Source organism: Homo sapiens, chromosome 7 (genome assembly GCF_000001405.40).
Source record: "Homo sapiens chromosome 7, GRCh38.p14 Primary Assembly".
Lineage (NCBI taxonomy): Eukaryota > Metazoa > Chordata > Mammalia > Primates > Hominidae > Homo > Homo sapiens.
This window is the reverse complement of record NC_000007.14, coordinates 96,236,239-96,262,657: the sequence shown is the minus strand read 5'-3', so window position 1 is coordinate 96,262,657 and position 26,419 is coordinate 96,236,239. Positions and strand designations below refer to the sequence as shown.

The 26,419-nt window shown below is 39.2% G+C and overlaps 1 protein-coding gene across 7 annotated transcripts in view, besides 1 other annotated feature; it reads left to right on the top strand.

Annotated features, from left to right (window-relative positions):
* SLC25A13 (solute carrier family 25 member 13) overlaps nucleotides 1–26,419 on the top strand; it is a 201,879-nt gene that overhangs the window by 59,441 nt on the left and 116,019 nt on the right. The window lies entirely within an intron of this gene.
* Nucleotides 13,869–17,123: an enhancer, noted in NCBI's record as "VISTA enhancer hs1642". NCBI's record gives its function as "enhancer in: neural tube[7/8] | hindbrain (rhombencephalon)[7/8] | forebrain[8/8]" and the evidence as "EXISTENCE:transgenic organism evidence [ECO:0001131][PMID:17130149]".

The window sequence follows — 26,419 nt, the reverse complement described above, 5'->3', positions numbered from 1 at the left end:
GCCCTTGAGACTAGTCATTTAGCCCTCATATTTGGCCAACATAAGGTGAATATAAAACCTCCATGAGAGGCTCTTCGTCACCCATACCCACACTTATGAAAAACTGGCCTTGCTTACCTCTTACTCTTTTTTTTTAAACTGAGGAGTAGTTTTTGGAACACTTTTCCCTTTTTACTGTTCTTATATTGAACCTTGAGTTACCATTGCGTATCATATTCTCAGAATAAGAATAAGTATCGTTACTGGGCCAACTTAATACCAACAGTTCTTCCATATTCTTCCCAGCATATGATGCTGCTTAGTGAATGCCTGAAAGAGCAAATACTGTTCTTTCCTCTTTCTTTGTTTGGTGTTAGTGTAGAAAGATAAGCTGGATTAATTGTTTGATTTGCTTGATCTAGACTGTAGGTGTTTAAAACATAAATCTAAAATTTTAAAGGAAAGGAAATCAAATGTAAGCTCTGTTTCCTAGCTACTTGAGAATCTGCTTCTTTACCACTGTCAGAATTAGAGGTACAGGATGTGGAGTTGCTTAAATTAAAACAGTCTTGTACTGAGCTATGAGGAATTCATGAAGCAAAACTGCTATAGTTTGAATGTGTCCTGAAAGTTCATGTGTTGGAAACTTAGTCTATTGCAACGGTGTTGGGAAGTGGGGACCTTTAAGAGATGAACATATTAATGCTTTTATCGCAGGCATGTGGTATGTGGGAGTGGGTTCTTTATCTCAGGAGTGGGTTTCTTATCAAAGGATGAGTTGGTCCTCTTCCCCGTCTCTTTCCCTTGCCCATGTGATGCCTTCCATCATGGGACAACCCAGCAAGAAAGCCCTCAATGTCAGTGCCTTGATCTTGGACTTCCAAATCCCACAACAGTGAGGAAGTAAATTTTTAAAATGAATTACTCAGTCTCAGGTAATTCTGTTCTAGAAGCATAAAATGGACTAAGACAAAAATGTTAGGAGATATAGTACCCAACTTTCCCATTGATTGTGGCATAATTGTGCCATGATTGTCAGTGAGTTGCTTCCTAGTAAATACAGTGAGATTCAGAGATTTTAATGAAGGTTTTTGAGAGTAAAGTAAGACTTCTCTTGCAATCTGATGTAAAGGTTTTGAGATCTTCAGTCTGGAATAAGCAAAAGGTGAAAGAAGATAACTGATGAAAGAACTTAATTGTCAGAAATTTTAGAGTAACTTAGTCTGAAATAAATGATATATGGTAAGGTAAAATGGCCTTCTGCTACAAATCTGAGACAACCTTGATACTTGAAAAATATAGATTAATTTCAGATTTGGTAACTCATTTAACAAATATATATTGACACCAACTATGTGCCAGGCACTGTTCTAAACAGTGTGCTTTTATATAGCAAACAGATAATGTAAACAAAAGATATATATAGATGATATAGAGGTAGGTTGTTATATTTATTAAAGTGCTATGGTCGATAAAGTGGTCAGGGAAGATCTCTCTGAAAAGTGACATTTGGGCAAAGACTTGAATGAAGGAGTAAGCCATGGGAGACCCTAGGGATTGAGCCTTCTCAATAGAGAAGAATAGAGGGGATAACAGGTGCAAAGAGCCTGAGAGGGGAGGGTGCTTGGCATGTTTGAGAAGCAGCAAAGAGACCAGCTAGTAGAGAGGGTTGATAGGAGAGTGAAAGAAGTATAAAATGTATCCCAGGGCCAGGTTATGTAGATGTTGTAGAATTGTATTTTGAGAGTAGTAGAAGTCATTGGAGGGTTTTGAGCATGGGAATAGCATGATCTGCATTACATTTTGAAAGGTTTTGCCTGGCTGATTTGAGAGAATGGGATGAAGTGGGTGACAGTGGAAGAAAGGGAAATTAGGACTGTGCTGCAGTAATCTGTGTAAAAGGTGATGGCAAGACTAGAGTTGAATGGTAAGAAGTGGTTGGATTTGGGATTTTATTGATGGATTAGATATGAAATATGGGGAATGGCGATATAAGCAAATGAGATAGGGAATGTTGGGGGAAGAGTAGGTTTGGAAGCAAAATTAAGAGTTCTTTAGGACATTAGAATATTGACCTCCCTGTTAAACATGCAATTAGAGAGGCAGGCTGTGAGATGTATGCTTAGAGATGAGAGTCAATGTAATTACTTATTTGGTCTGAGCCAATTCTCAGCATAAGGAGTTGGTGCTGTTGTAACTTCAGTGAGTTGTGTTTTGTAGGGTGGGGGAATTGGGGTCTTTTTTGTATTGATTATTATGAACTTACAGGTTTTTATATGTTTGTGTTTTAATTGCAATATCTCATCTTTGGCCAGTAGGAACCCTTTTATATTATCTCTTTTGTCCTTTTTGATATGATCCATTGATTTTTGGTAGCTTCCTTGTTTCTGGCAAAATAGGTTGTTATTTTATATATTTCCTGCCCTGAACCTGGAATCAGTTGCTCTGCTTGAATCTCCCCCTTTTTTAATTATTATTATATTTTAAGTTCTGGGATACATGTGCAGAACGTGCAGGTTTATTACATAGGTATACATGTGCCATGGTGGTTTGCTGCACCCATCAACCCAGCATCTACATTAGGTATTTCTCCTAATGCTATCCCTCCCCTTGCTCCCCACCCCCCGACAGGCCCCAGTGTGTGATGTTTCCCTCCTTGTGCGCATATGTTCTCATTGTTCGACTACCACTTATGAGTGCGAACATGCGGTGTTTGGTTTGCTGTTCCTATGTTAGTTTGCTGAGAATGGTGGTTTCCATCTTCATCCATGTCCCTGCAAAGGACATGAACTCATTCTTTCTTGTGGCTGCATAGTATTCTATGGTGTATATATGCCACATTTTCTTTATCCAGTCTGTCATTGACGAGCATTTAGGTTGGTTCCAAGTCTGCTATTGTGAATAGTACTGCCATAAACATACGTGTGCATGTGTTTTTATAGCAGAATGATTTGTAATCCTTTGGGTATATACCCAGTAATGAGATTGCTAGGTCAAATGGTATTTCTAGTTCTAGATTCTTGAGGAATCACCACACTGACTTCCACAATGGTTGAAGTGATTTACACTCCCACCAGCAATGTAAAAGCGTTCCTATTTCTCCACATCCTCTCCAGCATCTGTTGTTTCCTGACTTTTAATAATCTCCATTCTAACTGGCGTGAGATGGTATCTCACTGTGGTGTTGATTTCCATTTCTCTAATGACCAGTGATGATGAGCTTTTTTTCATATGTTTGTTGGATGATAAATGTCTTTTTTTCAGAAGTGTCTGTTCATATCTTTACCCACTTTTTGATGGGGTTGTTTTTATCTTGTAAATATATTTAAGTTCCTTGTAGATTCTGGATGTTAGTCCTTTGTCAGATGGATAAATTGCAAAATTTTTCTCCCATTCTGTAGGTTGCCTGTTCACTCTGATGATAGTTTCTTTCGCTGTGCAGAAGCTCTTTAGTTTAATTAGATCCCATTTGTCAATTTTGGCTTTTGTTGCCATTGCTTTTGGTATTTTAATCATGAAGTCTTTGCATATGCCTATGTCTGAATGGTATTGCCTAGGTTTTCTTCTAGGGTTTTTATGGTTTTATATCTTACATTTAAATCTTTACCATCCTGAGTTAATTTTTGTATACAGTGTAAGGAAGGGATCCAGTTTCAGTTTTCTGCATATGGTTAGCCAGTTTTCCCAACACCATTTATTAAATAGAGAATCCTTTCCCCGTTTCTTGTTTTTGTCAGGTTTGTCAAAGATCAGATGGTTGTAGATGTGTGGTGTTATTTCTGAGGCTTCTATTCTGTCCCATTGGTCTATATATCTGTTTTGGTACTAGTACCATGCTGTTTTGGTTACTGCAGCCTTATAGTGTAGTTTGAAGTCAGGTAGCATGATGCCTCCAGCTTTGTTCTTGTTGCTTAGGATTGTGTTGGCTATACGGGCTCTTTTTTGTTTCCATGTGAAATTTAAAGTAGTTTTTTCTAATTCTGTGAAGGAAGTCAATGGTAGTTTGATGGGAATAGCATTGAATCTATAAATTACTTTGGTCAGTGTGGCCATTTTCACGATATTGATTCTTCCTATCCATGGGCATGGAATGTTTTTCCATTTGTTTGTGTCCTCTCTTATTTTCTTGAGCAGCGGTTTGTAGTTCTCCTTGAAGAGGTCCTTCACATCCCTTGTAAGTTGTATTCCTAGGTATTTTATTCTTTTTGTAGCAATTGTGAATGGGAGTTTGCTCATGATCTGGCTCTCTGTCTTTTATTGGTGTATAGGCATGTTTGTGATTTTTGCACAAGAATTTTGTATCCTGAGACATTGCTGAAGTTGCTTATCAGCTTAAGGAGGTTTTGGGCTGAGACGATGGGGTTTTCTAAATATGCAATCATGTCATGTGCAAACAGAGATCATTTGACTTCCTCTCTTCCATTTAAATACCCTTTATTTCTTTCTCTTGCCTGATTGCCCTGGCCAGAACTTCCAATACTATTTTGAATAGGAGTGGTGAGAGAGGGCATCCTTGTCTTGTGCTGGTTTTCAAAGGGAATGCTTCCAGTTTTTGCCCATTTAGTATGATATTGGCTGTCCGTTTGTCGTAAATAGCTCTTATTCTTTTTGAGATACGTTCCATGAATACCTGGTTTATTGAGTGTTTTTACCATGAAGGGATGTTGAATTTTATCAAAGGCCTTTTCTGCATCTATTGAGCTAATCATGTGGTTTTTGTCATTGGTTCTGTTTATGTGATGAATTACGTTTATTGATTATCACGTATGTTGAACCAGCCTTGCATCCCAGGGATGAAGCCGACTTGATTATAGTAGATAAGCTTTTTAATGTGCAGCTGGATTTGGTTTGCCAGTATTTTATTGAGGATTTTCATATAAATGTTCATCAGGGATATTGGCCTGCAATTTTCTTTTTTTGTTGTGTCTCTGCCAGATTTTGGTATTAGGATGATGCTAGCCTCATAAAATGAGTTAGGGAGGAGTCCCTCTTTTTCTATTGTTTGGAATAGTTTCAGAAGGAATGGTACCAGCTCCTCTTTGTACCTCTGGTAGAATTTGGCTGTGAATCCATCTGGTCCTGGACTTTTTTTGGTTAGTAGGCTATTAATTACTGCCTCAATTTCAGAACTTGTTATTGATCTATTCAGGGATTCAACTTCTTCCTAATTTAGTCTTGGGAGGATGTATGTGTCCAGGAATTTATCCATTTCTTCTAGATTTTCTAGTTTATTTGTGTGGAAGTGTTTATAATATTCTCTGATGGTAGTTTGTATTTCTGTGGGATCAGTGGTGATCTCCCCTTTTTCATTTTTTATTGCATCTATTTGATTCTTCTCTCTTTTCTTCTTTATTAGTCTGGCTAGTGGTCTATCTATTTGGTTAATCTTTTCAAAAAACCAGCTCCTGGATTCATTGATTTTTTTTGAAGGGTATTTTGTGTCTGTGTCTCCTTCAGTTCTGCTCTGATCTTAGTTATTTCTTGTCTTCTGCTAGCTTTCGAATGTGTTTGCTCTTGCTTCTCTAGTTCTTTTAATTGTGATGGAGTGTCAATTTTAGATCTTTCCCGCCTTTTCCTATGGGCATTTAGTGCTATAAATTTCCCTCTAAACACTGCTTTAGCTGTGCCCCAGAGATTCTGGTACGTTGTGTCTTTGTTCTCATTTGTTTCAAAGAACTTATTTATTTCTGCCTTAATTTTGTTATTTACCCAGTAGTCATTCAGGAGCAGGTTGTTCAGTTTCCATGTAGTTGTGTGGTTTTGAGTGAATTTCTTGATCCTGAGTTCTACTTTGATTGCACTGTGGTCTGAGAGACTGTTTTGATTTCCATTCTTTTACATTTGCTGAGGAGTGTTTTACTTCCAATTATGTGGTCGATTTTAGAATAAGTGCTATGTGGTGCTGAGAAGAAGGTATATTCTTTTGATTTGGGGTGGAGAGTTCTATAGCTGTCTATTAGTTCTGCTTGGTACAGAGCTGACTTCAAGTTCTGAATATCCTTGTTAATTTTCTGTCTCTTTGATCTGTCTAATATGGACAGTGGGGTGTTAAAGTCTCCCACTATTATTGTGTGGGAGTCTGAGTCTCTTTGTAGGTCTCTAAGAACTTGCTTTATGAATCTGGGTACTCCTGTATGGGCTCCATATGTATTTAGGATAGCTAGCTCTTCTTGTCGGATTGATCCCTTTATCATTATATAATGCCCTTCTTTGTCTTTTTGGATCTCTGTTGGTTTAAAGTCTGTTTTATCAGAGACTAGGATTGCACCCCCTGCCTTTTTTTTGCTTTCCATTTGCTTGGCAAATATTCCTCCATCCCTTTATTTTGAGCCTGTGTGTCTTTGCATGTGAGATGGGTCACCTGAATATAGCACACCGACGGGTCTTGACTCTTTATCCCATTTGCCAGTCTGTGCCTTTGAATTGGGGCATTTAGCCCGTTTAAGGTTAATATTGTTATGTGTGAATTTGATCCTGTCATTATGATGCTTGCCATTTATTTTGCCCATTAGTTGATGCAGTTTCTTCATAGTGTCGATGGTTTTTACATTTTGGTTTGTTTTTGCAGTGGCTAGTACCAGTTTTTCCTTTCTATATTTAGTGCTTCCTTCAGGAGTTCTTGTAAGGCCGGCCTGGTGGTGACGATATCCCTCAGAATTTGCTTGTCTGTAAAGTATTTTATTTCTCCTTCACTTATGAAGCTTAGTTTGGCTGGATATGAAATTCTGGGTTGAAAATTATTTTCTTTAAGAATGTTGAATATTGGCCCCTACTCTCTTCTGGCTTTTAAGGTTTCTGCAGAGAGATTCACTGTTAGTCTGATGGGCTTCCCTTTGTGGGTAATCCGACCTTTCTTTCTGGAGCCCTTCTTTTTAGTAGGCAGTTGTATTTATAGACCACAATCTGGGGATTAGGTATGTTTCCTTCTTTTGAGTTGTCACTACTTTGAGACCTTTTGTTTTTCTCTTCTCTTTATTTATTATTATTATTTTGAGTTAGGGTTTTGCCCTGTTGTCCAGGCTGAAGTGTAGTGGTACAATCATGGCTCAATGCAGCCTCAACCGCCTGGGCTCAAGTGGTCCTCCTGCCTCAGCCTCCGGAGTTGCTGGGACCACAAGCACACACCACCATGGCTGGCTAAATTTTTAAATTTTTTGTAAAGATGGGGTTTCCCTGTGTTTCCCAGGCTGGTCTTAAACTTCTGGGCTCAAATGATCCCGCCACATTGGCCTCCCAAAGTGCTGGAACTACAAGTGTGAGCTACCGCACCTAGCTGATGCCTTTTCAATTCATTAGAGAAAAAATTTTCCATTCATGCTGATATTTCAAATGTAAAGATAAATTGACACAGTTAAATCCAAAGTAATTTTATTGTTTTGATTTTTCTATCTCCGCTCTTTCATTGAAAATCCTGGTTACCAGCAACATTCACAGTATTACATATTTGCCATGTGTAGGATATATCCAAAATAGTAACACCTTTATTGCTGCCAACAATTAGATACTGAATGAAGTTTAAGATTTCTTTTTAGTTCTGTTGTACTTAGACTGTGTTCCACAAAGTATATATAGTTAAAATACTGTATTCTAAAGTTATTGGAAAGAATTCATTTAATTCTGTGTGGTTTTGCCACCAACTTAATATATATATAGGGAGGTTCATTTTTTCAGTTTATTTTCAATTTTTAGGGATTGTCTTTTTTATTTTCAACTTAATTTAATTTTTGAGTATGTAAAACATATGTTTCCCAAATCAAAACTATACAACAGAAGGAAGGTATGCTCAGGGAAGTCTGTCTTAACATGCCCGTCCTTTTCACCCTGACTCTTCCTTCCTTTTTATAGGTCATTCTTTTTTGTATTAGTTTTTTGGTTTCTCCTCCCACAGGGTATTTTTTCCCCAAATATAAGTAAATTTATATGTGTATTTGTGTTCATCTTTCCTTCCCCATTCGTATCCAAAAGGCAGCTCTATCAACTCTATATACTATATATACGCTCCTTTGAGGGAGTGTGTATGTGTGTGTATATATGTAGTATATGTGCATGTGTACTAGGGTTTGCTCATGAAACAGATCCAATAGGGTATATATACACACACATATGTGGGTATATATGTATATTTATATAAAGAGAGACAAATACACATGTAAATGTACATGTAAATAATAAATGAAGACATTTATTATAAGGACTTGTCTCACATGACTGTGGAGGCTGAGAATTCCCAGTATCAGCTGTCTGCAAGCTGGAGATCTGGGAAAGCCAATGGTGTAATTCAGTTTGAGTCTAAAGACCTGAGAACCAGGGAGCCAATGGTGTACTTCCCAGTCTGAGAGCAGGAGTAGATCCATGTTCCAGCTCTAACACTCAGGTGGAGAAAGCAAGTTATCCCTTTCTCCACCTTTTTGGTTTATTCAGGACCTCAGTGGATTGGATGTTGCCTACCACATTGGGAGGGCAATCTGCTTTACCCAGACTGCCTATTTACATGCAAATCTCATCCAGAAACACCCATACAGACACACTCAGAAATAATGTTTAATCTGACTACCACATGTTGCTATCGAGGTAACACATAAAATTAACCATCACAGCATTTGTATAATGTTTGTCTCCAGGGAAGACAGACAGACAGACAGACATGCGCACACACACATACAGCACACACACACAGTTGCTTTTATCTCTTAGTCGTGTGTTTTGAAGATAATTCTATAAATATGTAAAGAAATCTTCCTCATTCCTTTTTATGGCTGCATAGTGTAAGCATATACATTTATAATTATTTTTCCAGTTTATTCCAATATCTGTTAAAGTTTACAGACCAGTGCTTTTAAGGTTTACATTATTTGGCTCATCAGGATCTTTTCCCAAACCATTTTAGGGCTGTTGTCAAAGAGCAATGGACAAACCCTAATGATGAGATGAACTTTACTCTCAGAATACCGTCTCACTTGCTCCTATGTTCTGCATTCCCTGCACCAAACACTTCCTATGCTGTCTGCTTCCCTGTCCACTCATACAGGAAAGGGCTTCGATGTTATAGAGTCACTCTTATTGCTCCTGCTAACTGCTGTCCTGATAACAATGGGTCTTTTGCATGGGAAAAGCATTATAGAGTGAAAGGATCACTGATAGCAGTCAAAAAAACACATTTTACTATGTCTTTTAAAATCTGTGGGATCTTAGACAAGTGACCTATCCCATGTGAGCCTGTTTTCTCATCTGATTAAATGGGGTTGTTACTTGCTCGGTGAATGCTTGTGTTGTCACCCAGTGAAATAAACTCCAGGGAAGTTTAGTTAGCTTTCCCTTCTCAATTTACCTGCAGATACTGTTTCAACATTCCTCTCTCCTCTCATTCCTTCCCTCTCTTATTCCTTTCCTCACCTCCTACTTTTCTTCCCCAATTCCTGGCATCTTTCCTGGTGGCAAACAGACCTTCCATGTGAAGAAAAACTCCTCATAATTGCACTTTCCTCTTCAGATTCTGCCCCATTTCTCTTCTTTCTGCAACACTCATCAAAAGCACTGTCTGTTCTGGCCCTTACAATTAATTCCTCTGCCCATTGATTCTTTTTTGAGATGGAGCCTTGCTCTGTTAGCCAGGCTGGAGTGCAGTGGCATGATCTCAGCTCACTGCAACCTCCGCCTCCCGGGTTCAAGCGATTCTTCTGCCTCAGCCTCCTGGGTAGCTGGAATAACAGGAGCATGGCACCATGCCCAGATAATTTTTGTATTTTTAGTAGAGACAGGGTTTCACCATGTTGTCCAGGCTGGTCTCAAACTCCTAGCCTCAAGTGATCCACCCACCTCTGCCTCCCAAAGTGCTGGGATTACAGGTGTGACCCACCGTGCCCAGCCTGCCCATTCATTCTTGAATCCACTCTCCCCAAGTTTCCTCTGCTGCTCTACTATGCTCTAATCTGCCCTTGTTACGATCTTCAAAGCAGAATCCAATGATAATATTAGTTCTCAGGTTAACACACTTGCCTCTTACCCCTTTTTGCAATACTCACTTCACGTTCATTATACCATGTTCCCTTGCATCCCTCAGACCTCACTGGTTCTCACATCTCTAGTTTTTCCTAACTACTTTTTGGGTGATCTTGTCCCATCTCATGGTGCTAAATACTTCATAACTTCTACTTTTATGTCTTCAGCCCTCTCCTCCCTGCTGCTTCTGTGAGAGTCCATTTGCGTACCTAATAGGCCCCTCAAATGTCACATGTCCTGACCTAGGCTCCTGAGCCTTCTCTCTCCAAGCATTCTTTCCTATTGCTTGCTCAGTAGATTCTGTCTTGCAGTTGCTCAGGCCCCAAACTCTAGGGACATCCTTGCTTCCTTCTTTTCTTTCACACCTCCCTTCAAATCTTACATCCAGTCTAGTTGGCCTCACTATCAGTATATGTATCGTCAGTACTCCCTCTGCCCAATTTCTTGGAAAGGTGACAGTAGCAGCAACTGCTGTTCAGGCTTCATGATACCAGCAAGGATAATACAAAAAAAGGAAGATGCTGGAAAGTTGACCAAGAAAGAGACCCAGTAAATAAGTCTGGACTCAAGTCCCCAAATAAAAAAAGATTCAAAGGCAAACTCTAAGACAAGCTCTGTTTTTGGTCTTGTTTCATAAAGTCATATAGAAAAAAAATATAAAGACGTTTCCAACTGTAGTTCATAACTGCTGTATTCATCTGTGAAGGATTGATGACTTGAGGCTCTCTGACCAGGGTGTCCAATAAGAAGTGCTTAGTAAAGACTCATCAGGTTGGTTTCCAACACACAGCCCACATTCAGTCTATACCCAAAATAGCAAAGATGGTGCTACACCAACTGCTAGTGAAGATGCTTCAAATGGGCAGTAAGATAGTAAATGTACACACCCCTGCAGGTCTGCTTCACTTTTATTTTCTTTCCAAGTACAGTTTCAAGAACAGTTTATTAAGTAAAGCAAAAAAATAGAAAAGAAAATAGTACGACTCAATCAGTTCACTCCATATCAATGCAAATTCAGATGCAATGCAACTGGTGATTGGTGTGTGGCTTCCAGTTGGCCAGTTCTGTAGAATCATTCCCACTGAGTGATTCAACACCCAATGATGTGACCCTGCATTTTACTTGATTTACTTTTTAAAAATTCTGCTCAGCATTATGGAGGATGTTACTCCATAACCAGACGCAGGCATGACCATCTCTCACCTGGATTATTGTAATAACTTCTCACCAAATCTTCTTGTGCAGCCAGAGTGATTCTGTTAAAATCTGAGTTGGATTATGTCACTCTCTGGCTCACAATCCTTTATGGCTCTCCATTTTCACTCAGAGTAAAAGCCAAAGCCCTTCTCGTGGCCAACAAGGCCTTGTGGTACTCTCTCCTTACGTTACCTCCCCAGCCCCTCACTTCATCTGCTGCTCTTTCCCTTAATTACTTTGTTCTGGTGACATTGGTCTTCTTGCCGCACCTTGAACACACCGTGCTTGCCGTGCTTGGTCCCACCTAGAGGCCTTGTACTTCCTCTTCCTTCTGTAAGGCACTTCCCCTAAGAATCTCACTCACTTCCTTTAGGGCTTTCTCATGGTGGTTATCTTGTATAATACATGTGGGTTTCATTAATTTTTTTTTTGTCTCCTCCTCTTTCCCACACACTTGACTGTAAGCTCCACGAAAGCAGGGATTTTTGTCTGTTTAGTTCACTGCTGAGTCAGCAGATCCTAGAACGTGGCTGGCACATAGTAGCACTCCATAAGTATTTGTCTAATTTGAATGGATTGAACACATAATGTTCCATGCACATGTGAGGTATTATCCAGAAGAGGTGGGATTCTTAGATTTCTCTCTATGGTTCCTTCTTTGAATTTTTACATGTTAAAATCTCTGCTGTCATTTTTCTCCCAGGACCACTGTAATATTTTATGGAGCCTCTTTTTTTTTTTTTGTAACAGGTCTAAAACTTTTAGCAAATCTTTTTTCTTCTCCTGTCTTCACTTTTCTCCTCCCCAAGTAGACTGCTTCCACAGTATTTTGGGGTTGTTCTAGTTTTTGTAAACTTTTTCTGAGGAATTCTTTGTGTTGAAAAAACCACCTATATATAGGATTAGATTCTCATATTTTTGAGAATCCTGCCCCATTCTTCAGCATCCTTACAAGGGACTGGACTCATGTCCCAAAGTGTTGGTGGATTCCAACCATTCGGCATGTCCTCGCTCATTTATGTCTTATGGTCTGGTAAGTTAACTGCCTTCTGCCGTAGAGTTAAGTAAAGACAGCCATGTCGCTGCTCTTTTAGTGAATTTTGGCTGTTCACATTATTCTTCAAGTTATTTAGAATATAACTTTTTAGATTCACTGAGGATATTGCATCTACTTGGGCAAAACCCTGAAAGCCCCTAAGGATTTAGCTGAACATGTAATTCATATTGAAACCCACCTTCTCTTGCCTTATGATTTTCTGATTCAGTACTTTCTTCTAGAGTTTTTTTTCTTTTTTTGAGACAGAGTCTCACTTTATCACCCAGGCTGGAGTGCAGTGGTGTGATCTCAGCTCACTGCAACCTCCGCCTCCTGGGTTCAAACAATTCTCCTGCCTCACTCAGCCTCCTGATTAGCTGGGATCACAGGCGTGTGTCACCACACCTGGCTAATTTTTATATTTTTGGTAGAGATGGGGTTCACCATGTTGGCTAGGTTAGTCTCGAACTCCTGATCTCAGATGATCCGCCCGCCTTAGCCTCCCAAGGTGCTGGGATTACAGGCGTGAGCCACCATGCCTGGCCTAGAGTTTTTTTTTTTTTTTTTGCTAAGTTAAGAAATAAAACAGTAACCAATTTCTGAAGGAAAAAGCATTAAAATATTGATGTTGCTTTTCTGCAATACTTATACCAAGAAAATGCAAGAGAGTCTCAAAAGTTGTGTAGCTTAATTTCCTCTTGCAAAAATATAAAGTACTCCCAACAGTTTCTAATTTTGATGATCTTTTACAATTACTGTTCTGTGTTGTAATGGCCTGCGTTTTAAAAAAGCTTGAAATTGTTAGGAGACCTTTAGACATAGAACTTGGTAAGAAGTGCAGAGATAGGATGGCATAGAATGGGGAAACATGCCAGATCAATTGGGACAGAAAATTTTTCTTAACTGCTTTTCAGCATTTATATAGGTTCTTCCATGAGCAAAATAAAATATGAACCTAAATAGAATGGGCTCAAACAGTCATAATAAACTCCTTTGGTTATTTTCAGAAAATCTATATTCACAGGTGGCCTGTGTTAATAGGTGAATTCATTGTATTTTGGTGTGGCTATTTGTATAACAAAACATGACTAAATATGAAAGATGTGTATGTCTTTTTCTTTACCAGATCTTGCGCCAGTTTTTAAGCAAGCAAATTATGTTCATGTAGTAAAATTTTAATCTGTATTGGGAATAGAGGTGGGAATAGTAGTATTCTGTTTACTGTGGATTTGGAGTAAAATCTAGAAATGCTACTTAATCAGCATATTGTAAGCAGAAATTACTTTTTGTCTTTTTTACAAAAAATGGACATGAGAGCTCACTCCGTTGCCCAGGCTGGTCTCAAACTCCTGGGCTCAAGCGACCCTCCCACGTTAGCCTTCCGAGCAGCTGAGAACAGAGGCACGTGCAATTGTGCCCAGCTTTAGAAATCACTTTTTATTTTAATTCTTATTTGTAACATTTCATAAGGTATTAGGCTACTTTTCCCAGTCACTACCGTTTATACAATTTAGTTTTAATTTCTTAAAATTTTATTTGAAATTGTAGAATGTCTTAATCATTCAGAATGTGAATTGTCATGGAGGTGTCAGAGATGCAATTTAATTTCTCCTGATAGCAGTATATCTTGAAAATATTTTGCTTAAAGATTTATTTATCCTTGCTGTCAATTTGTTTCTTATAATTTGCCTCATAGAAACATTCATTCAAAACAGAGTGCTGAAACCAAAATGGAATATACAATTAAAACCAAATAATTTTTTTCCTGCTAACTACTTCCCAGCCCCCAGACTGAACTCGTGATTGAGGTTCTATTTACTTTTGCAAACAGATGAATATTTTTGGAGCAGTGGAGGTAGGAGCATGGTACCTAAGTCCAAGTTGCACCATTTTGTGTGGCTGTTTCTTTCTTATTTTGCATTAGGAAACAGGTGCAAGAAAAAGAAAAAAAATTCCACTTCATCATCGTAGTAGTATCTGGAATCTCATTCCCCATAACCAAGAAGAACTCATTTATTCTTGGCCACCCTCTCTCTTTTGTTATTCTAAGTTGACTGTGGACAGCTTTGATGCTGCCCCTGAACTTCTATGAGTCCCCCTGCCCTTGCTGCCAGGATTTTAGAATCTACCCTTCTCCTATACTAGGAGTGGTAAGAAAATAAATTCGGGTAGTAGTGCCATTTGATGATTCATTTTCTTTTTATATGTGTCCTTTAAAATTAACATTGACAATTTGGAGCCCCTTTGTAATGTGGATGATAGAGGAAAAGCTGTGATTGCTTATAGGCTGAATTTAGGTTCATCTGAAATTATGATGTATCTCAGAAACATCATAATTCCTTGGTTTGGGAGTGGTAATAGGATTAGGACTGTTGAGACTGTAGAAAAAGCACATTGTTTTTCTTAGATGTGGATGCTTGTTTGGGGTGGTGTAGGCTGATGGAGAGTATTTGAGACAGCGGCTACTCTTTCTTTTTTTTTTTTTTTTCCCAGCTGCTACTCTCAATGCAGACATTGCTCTAGAACACCCTGTATAAACTATATATTGCCACATCTAAACCATATAGTACTTCATTAAATTTTGAACATTTAAAATATTTTAACTATATGAGACAACTATGTGGTGCATGTGTTAATTAGCTTGATTGTGATAATCATTTTTCAATGTATATGTATATAAAAATAACACATTGTACACTTTAAATGTATACAATTTTTGTCAATTATATGTCAATAAAGCTGTAAAAAAATTTTAGATAATGCACAATGGATCCCATACTTTGTATTTATTCCTATATACCTTGATTTTTAAGCACCTTATTCTTTAAGTTCATTTTGTTGCCGAATTTGAGTGCATTCTCCCTAGTCCTTATTAAAGAGGGTACAATAATCTTTCATCTGAGATACAATTGATGGAATTATTTTATAGGATCGAGTACATTTTAAAGCCTAATCTTTCTTTGCTTACATTGAATATTATGACCATAATATTATGAAATGTTATTCTGAAACTTGGTCTGAGTTCTCTTACGTCATCAGAAATTTCTGCAAATTCAATCTGAAATCAACACATGGGCACTTTTTTTTTCTTTTTTATGGTCTTAAATACAGAAAATCATAATCTATTTTAAGCTTAGATAAATGATGGAACACTTGTTTACATGGGTAAAATGACTCTATCTAAGTAGTATATTGAAGTTCATGTTAATGTTTGCTATTTAATGACACCTAATGATATTCAGTGAAGGGTTATGCTAAACCGGAGAGAAAATGTGTTACCCAGGCAACTGCCTCTGGCAGACTAGAGATTCGGGCATATGGCTCTATAGTACACATTATTTCAGCATCTTTAAGCATAAAGAACCACACATGTAATTGACTGTGAAAAATTACTGCTCAGTTACTGTATTGTATGGTCATAATAGAAGTAAATGAATACGTCATTGTTGTTGGAACAAGTCTGTTGGGAATCACTTGTAGACTCTACTATTTAAGAAGCAAAAATACAATAAGAAGAAAATAGCTGGTTTAATTAACATGTAAAAATTGGGTTAATTTGAATTCAGCTGGCACAGCAGATATTAATGTTGGCTTTTTTTTGTGATATTCTGGCTCAAGCCTGGGTATTTTTATTTCTTCTTGCCCACACCATGAATAATTTTATTTCTTAAAATGATAAGGGCTATTTCAGTCATTTAATTTTTGCTTTGCCAGGGACTTTTATTACAGTCACATCAAGAGAGGTTTTGTGTGTATCCAAAATGTAGGAATTACAGTTGAATGAAAGAAAATGCCAAAATGTTCCCGAGTAATTGATAATGTTTCTCAAAGAGGAATCAGTATAATTTTGATTTCATGTATTTTTTAAAAATTTTAGTTTACTGCTGATGTATTTTTATTTTTTTAACAGTGACAAACTAGGAATTGATCAACGGCAGATGCAAGAAAATAGCATGTTCTTGTCACTTTTTGTGTGCCTATGCTTATGTGCCTTTTGTTCGTTTTAGAATATTGTTTTAATCATCATTACCTTGCTTCAGAGATTCAGAAAAACCTATTGAGAAAGGCATTGTGTTCCAATTAAAAAATCGTTTAGCTCAATCAATTTTTGGTATTTTAAAATGTTATTTGAGCTGAGAACAAACATAGGTAATATGGGCATTAACTAAAAGTATGTATGGGAACATTCTGTTCCTTGGGCTGTGCCTTCGGTACCCTGTAGGTACTTTTGTGCTTTTCAGCCCTAAATCAAGGGAATGATCAAACTGGAGACTATGGTTAGAGAAGTGAAGGATTTGGCAGTGTGTGCCCTTGCATGCAGGCCAGTCTTTCTGTCCTTGGGTGCATTCAAAGTACCTGGTTATCCAGTGGTAATGAGAATAAACCAACATGCTGCTTTATATAGTGTAGGCCAGTATACGCTGACAAATTCATATGCCTGCTGGCTTTTCAGTTACTGATTTCTTATTTGTGGTTTCCCCACTATCCTTCTTCATTTGCCATTTTAATAACATTGAGACCTTTTTATCCAGCCTTAATTAGTAGAACAAAGAAAGATTTAGGAAACCTAGGTTTTTAAATCTGCTTTATTTGCCTTAATCAGTTTTCCATCATGGTTTACAATTACTTTTCCCTTTTTTCCTCAATGGTCTTTCTTTACCTCTTTTGATTTCCTCCTGCTTTGAAGGCAATACGTAATTTAAAATGAGGTATTTATGGTGTTTTTTGTTTGTTTAAACTTAGTAGACTTTTCCTTTAAAAAGAAGTCTTTGGTAGATCTCAAAATATCCATGATGTAATTAAAATGCAGACTATTTGTCATGCACATTATTAAATTCTGCTCTCAGTGTTGGTAATTATACAAAATAGGAACAATGTAGTATAATAAGATAGCTTTTCGGGGTTTTTAAATGATGTCTACTAGTATTTAAGAAATAAAGGATATTTATCTAAAGAATTGTGGAGATGGTGAATATGATTTGTCTCTAGTTTTAAAAGCTTGTAGGCTTGTAGTGGTTCTTTTCCTTGATGTAGAATCATCTTTGTAGGGATTGGCCGTGATCGGAGCATTTTTGTGACTTGAAGGTTAAAAGAGAGGTTGAGGGAGGTGGCAAGGACACTGGGGCAGATTCTCCTCATCTCATTGAGTAATGGTTATTTTACAGGGAGGGAAAGAATAAATGGGGTATAGGAAGAGTAAAGACATTTTCTAGTGTTACTTGAATTAACTACGTACTAGCAAGTGAGAACTAGAAAAGGGATGAATCATACCTGTCAAATGTGCTTGATCCATCTTATAAGAAAGAGAATGTTGGAGGTATAAGAATACCCCAGTAAATCCCCCTGGTTGGCACAGTCAGCCTTGGGCAACTTGACTGCTGTTTGGAGTCAGCTGCAAGGCGATGGGCTGCCAAGTAGAGCTGGCAGTATGGACAGATCACTTACTGAGTTAAGCTCACAATTACGAGAGCCTATATATATATATATATACTTTTGCCAATATGGAGGCAGTGATATATGCAGAGGTGATATTTATAGGCCAAATTTGTGATAACGATACAGTAAAATTGCCAATAAAAATCTTTAATAGGTTTTTAAAGCCAGGCAGTAGCCTGCTTGTTTGAACAATATTCAATCTGCCAGATTTCACTGGAGCCAATGAATTTAAATAGGCCCTTGGCAAACACTGCAGCGAGATTTGAACCAGAGTACATAGTAGAGCTGAAGAGCCCTGCTGGCCTCAGAACACATGCACTCCAGGGAATGCCAAGGTCCTTTCTGGAGCCAGGGTGGGCACAGAATGGCTGCCTGTAACCTAAAATGGAAGAAAACAGGATTTTAGAATGAAAGGCATCCGAGAAAAGCACCTTTTATGGAACAAGAAAGGATATCTGTTCCAACTTGTCCAACAAGGTCATTCAGCCAGTTAGGCAAAGGTAAGACCCTATAGGACTCAGCTTCTGTCCACCTTATTCCTGATGGTTTTTAGAAGATTGGGTAATCACTCATTGTCTCTTTTCAGATCAGATTAGAAACAATAGTCATGAATTTGCATAATTGGAGTCGTGAGTCTTCGTTTGTGTGCTTGCTGACCATCAACTAACATATTAAATAAAAATCTTTACTTAGGAGCATCCTCTTCATCTGCCTAACTGGTAGTTTCCATATCCTCAGTGACTTCCAAGCCTCAGAGTCTGTGCCTGTGACTGCCATAGCCCCTGGCCACTGGGCCTCCTCTTGATGGGGAGGGGCTGAGCAGCTCCTGGGCTTTAAAAACTGCTTGCTGTGACTTCCAGGACAGGACCCCCCCAGACCCCACGTAATTAAGCCTTAACAGCTGTTTAGAAAATGTATCCCAGATTTGACTGCTCCTTGGTTCTCTTGCTACGACCCAGGTTTAGCCTACTGTAGCCGCTTCTAACTGGGCTCACTGCTTCACCCGGCGGCCCGTGCTCCACAGTGTCTTGAGTGTTCTTCGTAACCTTTCTAACTCTGAGGCGAGTCACATCACTCCCCTGCATAAAACCCTTCAACAGCAGCTGATTTCCCTAGGAATAAAATCCAGGCATCCTTTTATGCCCGGCACCTCCCTCATCCTCATCCCCTTTCCCTTCCCCTGCCTTCTCTACTCTCCAGCTGCTCGAGGTCTCCCTGCCCTTTGGAACTTAACAAGGGTGGCCTGCTTTGGGCGCTGGCACTGATGTTTCTCCTCACATCCCTGTCCTCCAACTCTTTTCCTGGCCGCTGCTTTTCACCATTCAGATCTCAATACCTCCTCACCAGAGGCTTTTCCTGACCGCTTTAGGCAAAGTAGCCTTATCTCCCAACCCCATTACTCTCCTGAAGTTGATTTTCAAGCCTGGCTATGTAGTACAATCACTTGAGAAGTTTAAAAAAAAACCAAATGAGTGTTTAGGCCCCTCTACAGACCAATGAAATAGAGTATCTGGGGCTGAGAAGCATGATTCCAAGGCGTTGCTCTATTTTACCCTATGCAGTGGTTGTCTAATTCTGGAATTTTTATGTATGCATGTGCTCATCCTCCACCCATCTGCAAATGTGGTTCCTTGAGGACATAGATGTTGTCAATTTTGAGGTATCCTTAGTGCCTGGGGCATGGCTTATCATATAATAGGAACAGGGTACACATTTGCTTTGTTATCAAAAAGAGTCAGACTCTGGGGCCGGTGTGGTTGCTCACACCTGTAATCCCAGCACTTTGGGAGGCTGAGGCGGGTGGATCACCTGAGGTCAGGAGTTTGAGGCCAGCCTGGCCAACATGGTGAAACCCTGTCTCTACTAAAAATACAAAAATTAGCCGGGGATGGTGGCGCACGCCTGTAATCCCCAGCTTCTCAGGAGGCTGAGGCAGGAGAATTGCTTGAACCCGGGAGGCAGAGGTTGCAGTGAGCCGAGATCACGCCATTGCACTCCAGCCTGGGCAACAAGAGTGAGACTCCGTCTCAAAAAAAAAAGAGTCAGACTGTAAAATATTGGAAGAGATTTATTCTGAGCCAGGTATGAGTGACCATGGCCTGTGACACAGCCCTCAGGAGATCCTGAGAACATGTGCCCAAGGTGGTCGGGGTGCAGCTTGGTTTTACACATTTTAGGGAGACATGAGATTTCAATCAATTACATTTAAGAAATACATTGATTCTGTCCAGAAAGGTGGGACAACTCGAAGTGGGGCGAAGGCTTCCAGGTTATAGGTAGAGTTAAACATTTTCTGGTTGACAATTGGTTGGAGTTTACCTAAAGACCTGGGATTATTAGAAAGGAAATGTCTGGGTTCAGATAAGGTATTGTAGAGACCAAAGTGTTCATTGTACAGATGAAGCCCTTAGGTAGCAGGCTTCAGAGGGAATAGATTGTGAATATTTCTTATCAGACTTAAGATATAATGAGACATGTCCAACCCCCACTTCCCGTCATGGCCAGAAACAGTCTTTTAGGTTAAATTTGAAGAGTGCCTTGGCTAAGAAGGAAGTCCATCAAGGGGTCTTAGAATTTTATTTTTGGTTTACAGCTTGGTTGCCTGAATAATGTGTATTTGCAAGGAATATGGGCGGGAAAGAGAAGAGCTATAAAAGCCAAAAGCTATTAAAAGATGTTAAAAATCATGGAGACCAAAGCTTTGGATAAATTTGGATAAACTGGTGATCACAGGAGAGTCCAGTTCCAGATTTTTCTTAACACCCACATATACTTGTGTGGTCTGATGGTTAGAACTGTGTTTTTGGAGTTAGATTTTACTTTCATCTCTGCCATTGACCCTGGACAATTGCTTGGCTTCTGCTGTAACACACAGAAGAGGTATAAGGAGAAGTTATTTTTGTGAAGTACTCTTGTGGTTAGGAACCTTCAGTAAAAGTGGTAATTGGATTTTGATGGTACATTGTCTACAACCAAACTTCCTGAAGTATGAACAGAACAATTCCTATGTGCTGTTGCTTAAACTTTCGTAGCCACAGAGTTGGCCTGGAGATAGGAGCCAGGCAGGAGATGAAAGGGATCACATGGGGTCTAAGCCTCTGCTGAGTGAGAATAAGCGAGGACAGAGAGGAGGAGAAGAACTGGAGGTTGTCCGTTAGTGTGATTCTTTCAGATCCTTTGTTTCTTTTTTCAATTTGTCTTCCTCTCCCCAAATCTCTTATATAGTCCTCCTGCCACTATCTAAGTTGAGGACTTTGCTATTTTGTTTCATATGAATTTTTATTTTTTTCTTACTGTAAGAACAGTGCAGTATGTATATTATTGAAAGGATTAGAAAATATGGACAAGCAGAAAAAAATCTTAAATTTCTAACAATTTAACCACCTAGAGATGATATCCACTGCCAACACTTTGGTGTGCCTTCTTCAGACTTTGTGTGTATGCAAAATATTATTGTCCATTTTTAAGAAACAAATAATTTTCTACACATCATTGTGTAAATGACTTTTTACTTACTACCATGGATTTGTTTATAACACTTTTTAGTGGTTGGATAGTATCCTGCATATCAATGTTCTGTATTCAGTCCATCACATATTGTTGTATATTGAGGTTGTTTGTACTTTTTTCACCATTACCAGCAGTGCTGGGTAAATATCCTTGTAGATTAAAGTTTGCACGCATTTATGAATTATTTTTTAGGATAAACTCCTAGAAGTGCAATTGTGGTGGCTGAGGAGTAAAGAGGTGTTTTTTTGTTTTTGTTTTTTTCTAACTGCTTCTTGTGGGGCAGGGCTAACCCATAGGCTACCCAGAGTGGCCATAAAGACATCTTTGAGACTCTTGCTGTGTTGTCAAATTGTTCTCCGGAGATGCTGCACTCCCAGCCCTTGGTATAAAGTGCCTTTCTTTCTTTCTTTCTTTCTTTCTTTCTTTCTTTCTTTCTTTCTTTCTTTCTTTCTTTCTTTCTTTCCTTTCTTTCTTTTCTTTTCTTTTCTTTCCCTCCCCTCCCCTCCCCTCCCCTCCCCTCTCCTCTCCTTTCGGCTTTCGTAGCTCTTCCCTGGATTCTGCCATCGCATCTCCTCAACTCTGGTCTCTTCCCCTTAAGTTCATTTAACACTCCTCTGTCAGATTAAATGTTCTGATGCACAAATTGATCACATCACTAAAATTATCAGATCTTGGTCTACCATCACAGGACCTCATAATCAGGATGTGAGCAACTTTGTAGGGTTTTTTTCTTTCTTTTCTTTTTTTTTTTTTCTAGTAGATGGTGTCTCACTCTGTAGCCCAGGCTGGAGTGCAGTGGTGCAGTCATAGCTCACTGCAGTCTTGAACTCCTGGACTCAAGTGATCCTTCTGCCTTGGCCTCCCAAAGTGCTGGAATTATAGACATGAGCTGCCACACCCAACCCCGGCACTGTATTTTCTGTTCTAGTTTTCCTCCAGCAAATATGGATTTCTTGTGATTCTTCATCTCTGGTCTTCCTTCCTTGGTACCTGGCTTACCTTCTGCCCCTCTGGACCACCATTTCTGGGGAGCAGAGATTGCGTCCCTAGAACTGCCCTCTGCCAAACATGTAGAATAGGCATTGAAGTCAAACTGCAGCTGGTGGACTCTCCTCCCGCATCTCCCATCTTTACTTGATCACATTTCACTTTTATTGCAAGACTGAGTTCATGTTCACCAAACACATCTTCCTTCTGGTGTCATGTGTTCGCAATTTCAGTAAGGCTTTCTCCATCTCCTTTCACTCAACATGACAGTAATCTTTCCCTCCTCTGAATTCATTGAGTCATTTATTTCCAGTTCTCTTATGTTACTTAACCTACTTTTTCCATAATATCACAATTTTTAGTCTGTATTCTCTATTATATTTCAGATATCTCCAGGCTAAGTGCTATCCCTTGCAAAGCTGGGGGGAGGAGGGACCTAAAGTTACGCTACAGTGAAGAAGCACCATCATCATTTTGGTATATATCTTGTAGTACCTTTCCACATATGTGATAAATGATTAATATTTACATTGTGTAAGCATAGCATACAGATGCAATTCACTTTTCAACTCTTTCTTCTTTGGCCCAGTATTTTATAGTACTACGCAGTGCTTTGGCTATTTTATTATTACTTGGACTATAAAGGAGTTACAAAGTCGCTACTGTTATAAATGGCTTCCAGAAGGAGAACAGCAGCTCTAATGCTTTGTAAAACAAAAATGACTTGCTTACAGAAAATATCTAGTAGCATCAGAACCATGAAATAGAGTAGTTAGAAACCTACCCTCCCCTAATCTCTGAGTGGTATAGGCCTGTGGAAATGTGACTTGTACATTTGCTTTCATGTTAGCTGACCCATGTTCTACTATTAGTTCCTGCAGATAAGTGTGGTGGCAAATACTGTTCCTTAGATTCTAGTCATAGAGTTAATCAGAGCTGCATGATTCATTTTAAAGGGAATCTAACATTGTCAAAGAAGTTCTGGGAGTTGCGGGTGGAAAAGGAACTAAGTGAGTTCACCAGCCAGGTCTGAACTTGATTAAGCTTGAATTCTTTGTTGTAACTTACGTTAATGCTCATTAAATCTGTAAAGCAAGACGGAAGCACTGTTTGTCTATATATATATATGTATATACATATATATATATAAACATTTTTAGGTATCATGCTGTAAAGTAATATAGTACTACATAATTATTCTCATGGCCTTCTAGTCAGATTACCTTGAAAATCCAAAATGATCTTGGTGAACAATAATACATTATGATTTTATGGTTCATCTATATACCTCCTGCATAGATGTATAATACTCATATCTAACAGGATTACCAAATTACATACCTTTTGGTATCAGTAACATGCCTGAAATACCAGAGTATTTATTGGCTATTCTCAGTTATGAAACATTAACATTGCCAGACAAGGCTTTGTATATACATACATACATATATATATATATATATATATATATATATAAAATATATAGTCATATATATAATATATATTATATATATGTCTTTATATATTATAAGCTTTGCATATGTATATGGTCTCCTATATATGCTTTTTTTATATAAGCCTTTTATATATATTAAGCCTTTCTTTATTCAGACCATGAAACCAAAAACATCCCTTTTCTAGATAACGCATAGTGTGATTCTATTTAATGAACCTAATGTCTGTGAAGGGGTAATTAAGCAAATATGATTGTTTTCGGCCTCAACAAACTGCCAGCAAGTTCCCCTGGAGAGCAGCACTGTGTGGCTGCGTGGCTGTGGGTGCCTGCTCAGCAGGGTTGGGGGATGTGAGGAGGCGTGGCGACTGGGAAGCAAAGGGCCAGAAACACATTTGTCTTCTGTCCGGCTTCAGAAGTCTATAGTGTGGCGGGCCTGTCGGTGAATTCCTCAAGGTCTTCTTTTATTACAGCATGTCTTAAAAGGAAAAGGAAAAGGAAACATCTCTAAATGAAATGCTTGTGGGCACTTTTATTCACAGCTTTAAGTAACCTTTCTTTAAAAACTGCCAGATCTGTGTTTCCAATCTTGGCCTCTATATTAGTTTCCTCAGGCTGCTGTAACAAAGTACTCTACCGCAAACTGGGAAGCTTTAAAAAAAAAAACAAATTAGTTGTCCTAAGTTCTGGAGGCTAGACATCCAAGGTGGAGGTTCAGCAGGGTTGGTTTCTTCTGAGGGCTGTAAGGGAGAATCTGTTCCGTGCTTCTTTCCTGTCTTCTGGTGGTGGGCGGGCAACCTTTGGTGTTCCTTGGCTTGAAGAAGCGTCACCCTGATCTCTATGTTCATCTTTACTTGGTTTTCTCCTTGTGTGCATGTCTGTTTTTAAATTTCCCTGTTTTATAAAAAAGACTCCAGTCATATTGGATTAGGTGCCTGCCCTACTCCACTATGATCTCATCTTAACTAGTTCCATTTGCAGCTACCCTATTTCCAAATAAAGTCACATTCTGAGGTTCTAGGGGTTGGGATTTTTGGGGACGGGGGACACAGTTCTGCCCATACCAGCATCTCTCTTGAGTCCATTGGGTCTCTTTTGGCTTCTGGCTGGACACTGTACTACATGTCCCACTGTTACCTCAAACACAGTCACAGTTGGTTACATTCTCCCACAGGTCCCTTCTTTCCAATTTTTACCTTTTTTTCTTTTTTCTTGTTTATCTTTGGTGGTGGTATCATCATCCCACTCAGTTATCCAAGTTGGAAATGTTGGGAACATCCTGGCCTGTTTCCTTGGCCTTGGCCTCCAACATCCAGTCCTAACCACATTTTATAATTTCTGCCTCTGCTGTGTTTCTCTAGCCTTTCTTCTGCTTCCATTCCTAGGGCCCCCACTCAGGTTTAGAACCCTGTGATCCCTGGCTGCCAGGCTGTCTCCCACATCTCATCTCTCCTTTAAATTCATCTTCCACACCAGTTCTTTTTCTAAAACAAAGTTTTGAATGTGACATTTCTTAATCCAGAAACTGAGTGATTTTTAACTGTCTGAAAAAAAAGTCAAGATTCTGTTGCTTGGCCCTTAAGGTCCACCCTAGGTGGCTGGCATCTCGCTCTTGCCAGTCTTTTGCTCCTCATGACCTGCTAGATGGAGAATTGGTAACTCCTACATGCTTCTCCAAATACAGCACATCCATTTGTTTTCATCTCTGTACTTTGCTTCCCCAGTGTAGAATGTCCTCTCTCTACCCTTCCCTCCTCTCTCCATTGTCACCAAACCAAAGTCGGTCCATTTGCCTGCACAAAATGGAAAGCCAAACACAAAGCACCAGTTTTTTGCAGCAAGAAAGTTTATTGCCAGGCAACTGAGTAAGGGGAGAGGAGTCACACTCAAGTTTGACTTTCTCTACCAGCCTTACAGCCATAGATTTAAGGGAGGGCTTCTGAGTGTGGAGTTTAGGTGGTGAACAGTGATTAGTGATTGGCTGAAAGGAAAGGGGGTTTGGAAAGTGTCTTGGGCATGCTGTTGCCCTTCCATGCTGCTTCATGGGTTGCACCTTTGGACAGTGGTGGCATTAGCTTGAACTGAGGGTGAGTTTTTGGCCCTCTAACGTCAAAAGGTTACTCAACAGGAGAAGAAGTCTATTCTGCCCAGACTCCAGTCAGCTATGTTGGTTCCAACCAGCCTCAGTCTGTCAGCCAATTTTGTGGCAAACAGAGAGAACTGTAACAAATGGTTTTCTTCTCTGCTGTCCTGCAAGACAAGCTTAATAAATTTTTGTTAGTTACCAAATTCTTTAATCCTGTGGGGCATGGTTTCACCATCTTCCCACAGCAGTTGGAATTCTACCCAGGTTAAATGGAAGCCAGGAGACCTGGTTTTCAGGCCAAAATGTCAGAAGCCAGTTGTTTTGCCTAACCCAGGTCATTAACTTTTTCCAGTTTCCGTTTCCTCACAAGTAAAATGAGGAGGTTGAAGTAGATAATCCCTAAGATCTTCTCAGCTTTAAAATTTGTTCTTCAAATACCATGCCGCCATGAAGCAGTCCCCAACTCTTCCAGGCAGAATAATTCACCCCTTTTATGCCCCTTAGTGCTTTACTTTTTCTTTTACAGTTAACTCTTAATTTCTAGTGGTTATGTGTGCTCATGACTATCTCCCCTTCCTCCAAACAGCTGGTGGTAAGCTCCTGGAGTTCAGCCAGGAATGCTTGACTCATATTTGCCCCCCTTCTTGCCTCCTACGCAGAGTCTCGGTGAGAGAGACCTTAGTAGAGGATAAAATGTCCTTGGGAAGTACTCCCCTGTAACACATGCTCTTCCTGA